Source organism: Homo sapiens, chromosome 9 (genome assembly GCF_000001405.40).
Source record: "Homo sapiens chromosome 9, GRCh38.p14 Primary Assembly".
NCBI lineage: Eukaryota > Metazoa > Chordata > Mammalia > Primates > Hominidae > Homo > Homo sapiens.
In genome coordinates this window covers 133609790-133617667 of record NC_000009.12, presented here as the reverse complement: position 1 = coordinate 133617667, position 7878 = coordinate 133609790, and the positions used below count along the sequence as shown (strand labels likewise).

General features: G+C 52.6%; 1 annotated feature.

Moving 5' to 3' along the window:
- Positions 1564–2163: an enhancer, noted in NCBI's record as "H3K4me1 hESC enhancer chr9:136480627-136481226 (GRCh37/hg19 assembly coordinates)". NCBI's record gives its function as "activates a minimal SCP1, AML or CMV promoter by ChIP-STARR-seq in naive H9 embryonic stem cells {active_cell/tissue: H9 hESC(naive)}" and the evidence as "EXISTENCE:reporter gene assay evidence [ECO:0000049][PMID:30033119]".

Here is a 7878-nt window from a genome sequence, read left to right as displayed (position 1 = left end):
CCAAGGGGAAAACTACAGTTCCCAAATGTGACAGGGTTCCAGAGGACACAGGACATGTGCTATTTGTTTGGTGGTGGTATTCCTACCCCAACTTTTCATCAAAACAAAACAAAGCAAACGCAAGCTGAGAGAGGCCAAGCCGGCATCAGGAAGGGCAGGGTTCCTCGTGTGTGACTGTGACTTTCCTAACGAGGACGGTGTCCGAGCACCATTTCCCCCTGCAGAGGCGGGCGGCACCCCAGGGCTTTCAGAACGGGGCCCTTGAGGGGTACCAGAAGCTCTAATAGAGAGAGCGCTCACTCCCCTCCTGTAATGTGCTGAGCTCTGACCCCATTTCAGGGTGACAGTGGTCAGCCATGAGACCAAGGAAGGCATGGAGGGAAGGGGCTGGAAGGCTCCGTGGTGAGGGCTGGATGTGTCCTGGCTGGCTGTCCCCGTGCCTGCCATGCTGCCTGCTGTGATGCTGGGAGCAGCTCAGTGGCAGGGACGGGCATCAGCTGGCTTGCTTTGGAGGCACTCGACCACCCCGCAAAGCAGCCTCCCTGCGGCCTGCGCATGCTGATTTCCCTCCAGATGTTCTCCCCAAAGCCTCAGGCACCCACTGCTCTCACCCCCAGCCCCCAAAGCCAGAGCGTTGCCAAGGGAAAGACCAAGAAGGCAGAGCCCTTCCTAACCAGGGAAGGAGGGATGACCTGCAGGGTGGATCCTCAGAGGGGCTCCCCAGAGAGTCCACAGGGCCATCAGGAGGTGGGCGCCACAGCAGGGGCCCGAGGGTGGAGGCCAGCCTGCACCACTGTGGGCAGCTCAGCCTCCCAGCTCCATCAGGGCCATGGAGACTGTCTGGCCAAGGCCCCTCCCACGTCCCCCTCTCGCCCACCCACCACTGAGCTCTTTGGGATGAAGTTGGTGAGATGGGGACTCCCAAGACCAGCACCTGGTGGCTGGAGTTGGGAGCACCAGGAGGAAGAGGAGGGATTTGTGGTACAACAGCAGGGGTGTGAGATTTGAGGGACAAAAGCAGAGGGCAGCCGCTGCTGCTGGGACAGGCACAGGCTTTTTCTCCAGCTCTGGCCTGTGGAGCATCATGCCAGGTCAAGACGCCAGATGGTCATGCTCACCACCATACTGCACGGCTCCACACCACACATGGAGAAACTGAGGCTCAGAGAGGCTGAGAGAAGGGCTGTGTTCATCTATCTAGAAATCAGGGGGCCAGGATGGAGCCCCATTCTGCCGGACTCCAGACCCATATATTCCCACAGCACTGCCTTGGGACAGAGGAGCTGAGCTGTATGGGCACCCCCAGATCTACATCCCCAGGCCCCAAATCTGGACCTCCCCCCCAGTTGTGCACCTGACCTGGAGGAGATGGCGGCAGCTCCACTAGGCCATCCACCCTCAGAGGGCAAGACAGTTCCTGCCCTGTTCATTCCTGCATCCCAGCACCCAGTGCTGAGCCTGCACACAGTAGGTGCTCAATAAATGTGTGAGTCAGTCTGACTTGGCCCCTAGGGTTAAGAGGCTCATGTTCAAATAGATTTAAACAAACAGTTGCAGAGAAACCAGCATTAGAACTTTGATCAACGCATTATATGCTGCCTTTGACCCTCCCGGTCTCCCAGAAGCTGCAACATTTGAGCTGTGCCTTGCAGGGTGTGTAGGAGTTTGTGGGATGGAGACAGATAGGAAGGGCACCTCTGGCAGAGGGACCAGCCTGCTAAAGGCAGTGAGGAGTGAGCATTTGGAAACAGCCAGTCTGGGTATAGCTGGAGTAACAAGCCTGGGGGCGGTTGTGGGGACTCAAACGGTGGCCGCGGGGTGGACGCCATCCTGAGGGTGAAGAGGAGCAGCCAAGGGGCTTGTGCAGGGGAAGGCTGCCCTGGCTGAGGGTGCTCAAGACAAGGGTCGATGCACCGGGGCGGGGAATGGGGAGGGTGCAGAGAGGGAGGCTGGAGGCTAGAGGCCTCCCTCTTCAGCCTAGGGCCTCGTGCCAGGGTCCAAGTGTCCTCAGGGCAGATTGGCTGAGTCGAGCTCTGCCCCTTCTCTAGGGAGCCAGCGGTGCAGGGAAGGAGGCTCTGGGCCAGCGCTCACCACTGAGCTATTCATTATCTCTGCACCCCTGGCCGGTCGCTTGCCTCTGGCTGCCTCAGATTCCCCCTCCGTCCAATCACGATGGCCGGTGGTCTCAGTGTGGGGTTTCCAGAGCAGGGGGAGGCTCTGCTGCCTGCCACCTCTCGTCTGGGTGACTGCCAATCTCGGGCCAGCTGTGTTTGCAAGGGACGCTGCCTCTGGCTCCGCAGAGCGGCAGGCAGACGCTTTCTCACGTGAACATCTTTCATTCATTCAACAAACAGCTGCTGTGACTGGTGCTGGGAGACAGCAGAGAACAAGAGGCACGAAGCCCCTGCCCTTGTGGATGTGCCATTCCAGTGCAGAGAGGCAGGGAATGAGTGACCAAACAGACGAGACTGTGCCCCGCTCCCCTTCCCCAAGTCTGCGGCAGATTGTAACAGGGCCAGGCCCCTCTCCCGTTTCACAGCGGGAGACTAACCCGGCAGCAGGGTTCATCTGCTCCTGCAAAGACCCATAGCTGATGCTCTTTCTGCTTCCCCAAGCCAGCCAGATGAGGAGGGAGGTGGCATCCAGGCCAGGGCAGAAGGGGCCTGGCCTCCTGTGGCTCCCACCGCCCCTGGGTGACACAGCACTGGCCTCATGTCCTCGCTTTGCCACAACCACCTGCTTCTGCTTCCCCACGATTACCCCTGCCATTCTCCTTTCTCTGCTCCCACGCCCTCCTCCTCCTCACCCCCATCCAAATCTGCCATTGTTAGGCAGGCTTTGGGACTGGTGGCTTGGATAGAGTCTGACAGGAGAGCAATGGTTAAGTCCAAGTTTTTATTCTTTGTGCCCAAGAGGAGACTGTGTCTGTGAGGTGAGTCCTTGGGTGGCAGAGCTGCCCCACGGGTGCTCCAGAGACTGTCCTGAGGGGAGGAACTGCTCTGCACGGCTGAAATGAAAGGCTGGCATGTCAGTCTGGCATGACATTTTATTGTCATGTCCTGACGCTGGCCTGTGTCAGTCACCGTGGGTGTTCTCTTTTCATCCTTCTATTAAAATGAACAGCATTCAGCAACCTCTGCAACCCTTGCTAATAGAAGCAGAAAAGTTATGGGAAAATTGCTTCAATATTAGGTTCCCCTAGTCCAGATAGGCAATCTCCGATTTTCATTTCTTATTTTCTAGTGTAATAGACTAAGGGTCACACCCCAGGCATAGGACATGGTCTGGGTGGACTTCGGAGTCAGATGGGTCCTGGCCTCGGGCAGCCTTGGGCAGGTCATTCACTTTCTCTGTCTCGGGTTCTTTACTGTAAATCCGGTAAAATGAATGAATCGTGCCTGTCTCCCAGGGCTGTCAGCACAGTTCAACAGTAATAAGCACAAGACACATGCTAGCTATCAGCCGGGTGGTCCCTGTCCTGCCTCTGCCTGCCTCAGGAGGCCCTGTCCCATCAACCTTTGAAACTCTCACCTCCCTCTGAGCTCATGATGACGAGGACTCTTTCCTCTGTCTCTGCGCCCACAGTATGTGAGGGAATGAATGAACGAATGTAGGCATGGCCTGCATTTATTTGCTCAAGCTGTGAAGAAGTGCTTTGGCTGAGAAAGTAAAACCCAGATTAGGAGTACTCTCTGTTAATGTTTCTCTGGAGTAAAAAATCCCTGCAATGGAGGAAGGCTCTGAAACAATAAATCCTCCATAACTCCTGTCTCACTTCTTCTCACTCTGCAGCAGGATTTGTCAAGATGATCCGTGATTCACAGAGGGAGCCGGGAGAGACCCCTTGACGGGTCCCCGAGCGCCTCTCAGCCCCATCTCCTCCTCATCCATCATCTGCGATGATTCTTAAAGAACGAACACATCAAGCTTGCTGTCACAATGTTTTAAAATGTTGCAGTAATTAAAAACCACCGGTAATTTCTTTTCACACAGATGAGGCTGTCTTTTCAAACCAGGGCAATGGAAACACCCCACACGCTGCACACCTGAGCCCGCGCACGCCTCCCACTCTGTCCGCTGGCACACTCTGCTGCCCGACCCTCTCACCTTCTCTTGCACACTTTGGTACCTCGTCATTCTCCTGGTCCCATCTAAAAGACGTCCAATCTAACAGACCCAGGATGCGAGGCACACTCTGCCTATTCGGCATCACAGAGTAATCACAGTGACTTGCAGTTACCCATCTCTCAATAGTTTCTTTTTAAAAAGTTCATCTCTTCTCTAAATGGGCTTGATCTTGACCTGCACAGATCATCTGGAGTTGAGTGGACACAGGTTCAGTGAAAACGGATCAAAGGGGCTGTTGCTGGGCTCAGTCAATCAACTGCAGAACGTCTTATGGCTGCAGGCTAAGAAGAGGAAACAATTCAACGACCAAACAAAGGTTAATCTAGTAACTGCGGCAAGGCCCAGGTAATTTCCATAAATATGTGGAAACAGCAACCACTTCAATAGTTTGGCCTGGCACCAATATGAGGAGGAGCTTGGAAAACCGGACGTGGACCCCCTTTCAGTGCCCTGAGATCCATCGAGCAGCTGAATGGAGGTCGGTGCTGGGGGCCAGGGGGCACCCACACAGACCAGTGAGCAGCTGCCCCTTCTGGAATCTCACAGACTTCTAACACCGAGGGGTCCCCGGGTGCCAGCTGTGCTGCAAGTGGACAGCCAGCCTCTGCTCAGACATGTCTGGAGATGGCGAGCTCCTCCCTTCCAGAGGGTTCCCAGAAAGGGAATAGGAGAAGCTCTTGGCCATCATTCTCATTACTCTCCACATCCTGGCAGAAACTTTATTCCTCGAGCACTTTGTTCTTTCTGCCTCTGTAGAATGAGACTCAGCCATCAACAGCAGCTGCTCACATCCTTTGTTCCCAAGAACGTCGTTCCCTCCATTCGAGTGTGCAGGGGACTGTGCATGGGGGTGCAGGTGTGATTGGAATGTCAGGGTTTCCCCGCCACCGCTGGTTTTGTTTTTTCCTCTATATCCAGCCAATGAGCACCTCTTGTGCACATATAGATCCTCAGAGAGAAAGAAAGCCTGATGCCTCTTCTTCATGAGGCTGTAAGTCTTTGAGCAATGAGGCTATCCAACTCGACTCCAAGAAACGGATGCGCACAGAGGTCCTGCTTGTATAGTGTCAGGCTGATCTTACGCAAGCCCCATTTGCCCTAAGTGGAAAATGAACCTTTGTAAACTGCCACCCATGAACCAATGTGTTGGGAGGTGTTCAACCAACTTGGCCATCTGTTGAATTTGAGTTATATCCACGAAGCTCTGTTGTGGAATGATGCTGGTGGTGGGGACAGAGTAGCTGCCGTTGGCTGAGGTTGCCACGCGACTAAACAGCTTATTGTAGTGGATGGAGAACCAGTCCGGCGGCAGAATGTCACTCCTCCCACCCCCGGGCCTGTTTTTGGCCAACCTAAAAGAACTGCGTGTAACTAGGATCCTTTTTTTTGCACGCACCAGGAGAACTTGCTATTTAGGGAATCCTGATGATGAATTGTTTTTATAAAGTCAGACCAGAGACTCTTCCTTGTCTTTCTCTCCCCTCACCCATTTTTATTTTCTGAAATTGGTTTTTGCTTAAAATCAGGGCATGCTTTTGCACATAAATAATGAGTTTGGTGGTGACCATCTGGCATTGCGATCCAAATGAAATCTATTCAGTGTAGTCACCTCTTTGCTGGCTGTGTGACCTTGGCCAAGTCACTTCACCCCTTTGTTACCATCTGTAAAGCGAGGGCAATGCAGGCATCTACTGTACATATTGTGGGTAATATTCAGACCTCTTTCAAATAAAATGGGCTCCATTTTAAATAAGGTTTCGTCATCACGGGCATCAGGAACACATCTCTCTCCACAGCATGGGAAAGAAACCAGCATGTCAAGAGGCCAAGAGCTACAGAGTCTGAGCTGGTTCCACAGAGGTTTCCAGCTGCTCAGATCTATAGCTGCAGGATTCTGCAGAGTTTGAGTAAAAAGTCAGCATGGGGAGAAGTGGAAGGGCATTGAGCTGGTTGGTAAAGACAGGGCTTGGCAGTGATGTTGCTTTTAAAATTCTTGGCACACACTTGCAACTCTCAAATAAAAAACAAGTTGCTCAGTTGTCATAATGGAGTTTTTGACTAAAAGTGATGATTTAAAGGATTCCTGTGTCAACTCCTAGGACATCGATTGGCTGGCTGGTTTGTCTCTTCCTCCTGGCTCTCTCTCTTTCTGCCTTTCTCTCTCTCTCCTTATAAGGAATTTCTATCCGTGTTTACCATCCTTCTTTCTAGGTGGGGCTGGTTGGGAAGGATGTAGAAGTTCTAGAAGAAGGGGATTAGGAGCAATGGCTTGGGAATCAGGCCGATCCGCCTCAGGTCTGCTGCTGTTGAGCCTAAAGTTTTCACCTGCAAAGTCAGGGTAATGACAGTATCCATATCTCATCGGATCGCTGAGAAGACTAAATGAGGCAATGCTCGCACTGTGTTTAGCCTTGTGTCTAGCACGCATTAAGCACATAATGAGTGATGTTTATCATGAGACAAGTGCCTGGTGGGAGCAGGTACTACTCGCAGTTAATTAATGAATCAAACACAGCCCCTGGTCCCTTGGGAAATGAAGCAGGTGATGTTTAATTATCCTGCTTGGAAGAGAACAAGATACTCACAGGGGGCAGGGACCAGCTTTTCCCATTAGTTAAGAGGAAGGAGGACTAGCCTGGTTTGCTATAAGAAAACTCTCTATGGTCAAAGTGACCTGATCAGCCTGGAGAAACTCAGCAGGGGCCCTTGCCAGGGGCCCCAGCAGGGGAGGCAGCAGGCTGGACATTTGGAGCATGTCTGTATGGTGTGAACACTCACTCTCTTGTCCATGGGCAAGTTGCTCACCCATCTGTGCTCAGCCCATCTGTAAAAGGGAAATGGACTCCAAGCACTTTACTCTTCTGTTTGTCCTCAGTATTCTCATGTCTAGAATGAAGCAAGGTTATGGTTACTACCAGGATGGAGTTTTTTTATAGAGAACTTAAAGGTTGATCATAATGAAAGCACACATTTAAGGCCAGGCGTGGCAGCTCACACCTGTAATCCCAACACTTTGGGAGGCCGAGGCGGGCAGATCACTTGAGGTCAGGAGTTCGAGACCAGCCTGGCCAACATGACAAAACTCCGTCTCTACTAAAAATACAAAAAGAACAACCTGGGTGTCGTGACGCATGCCTGTAGTCCCAGCTACTCGGGAGGCTGAGGCAGGAGAATCACTTGAACCCAGGAAGTGGAGGTTGCAGTGAGCTGAGATCACGCCACTGCACTCCAGCCCGGGTGACAGAGTGATATGGCTCAAAAAAAAAAAAAAAAAAAAAAAAAAAGCACACATTTATATGGTGCTTTCCCACCAGGCACAGCTCTGAGTGCTGTACATGTTCTAACACAAAAGCCTTCCTAACATTCTTAACACCAGATTTCTCTCCGTTCAGGGTCCCTGCGACCGCAGGCTCAGCTCGAGGACCTGCAGAAACAGGGAAATGCCTCCTGGGGCACTCCTCTCAGGAGTAGGAGCCTTGGGTCAGAAAGGTCTCCCTCGTATCCAGCCCAAATCTGCCTTGCTTTAACGTCTAGCCATTGGTCTTAGCTCTGTGCTTTGGGGTCAGGGAGAAGGGATCTGCTCCCCTTCCCCGTGGATGTGGGAGAGATCCAAAGGCAGCCGCCATGCCCCAAACAGCCACTCACCAGGAGCAGCGTAAGCCTTGCTCCTCCTCTCAGTTGCTCCGGGGTTGCTAACTCAGAGAAGGGAAATAAATAGTAACAAAGGCGAGCATTTATTAAGTACTTATG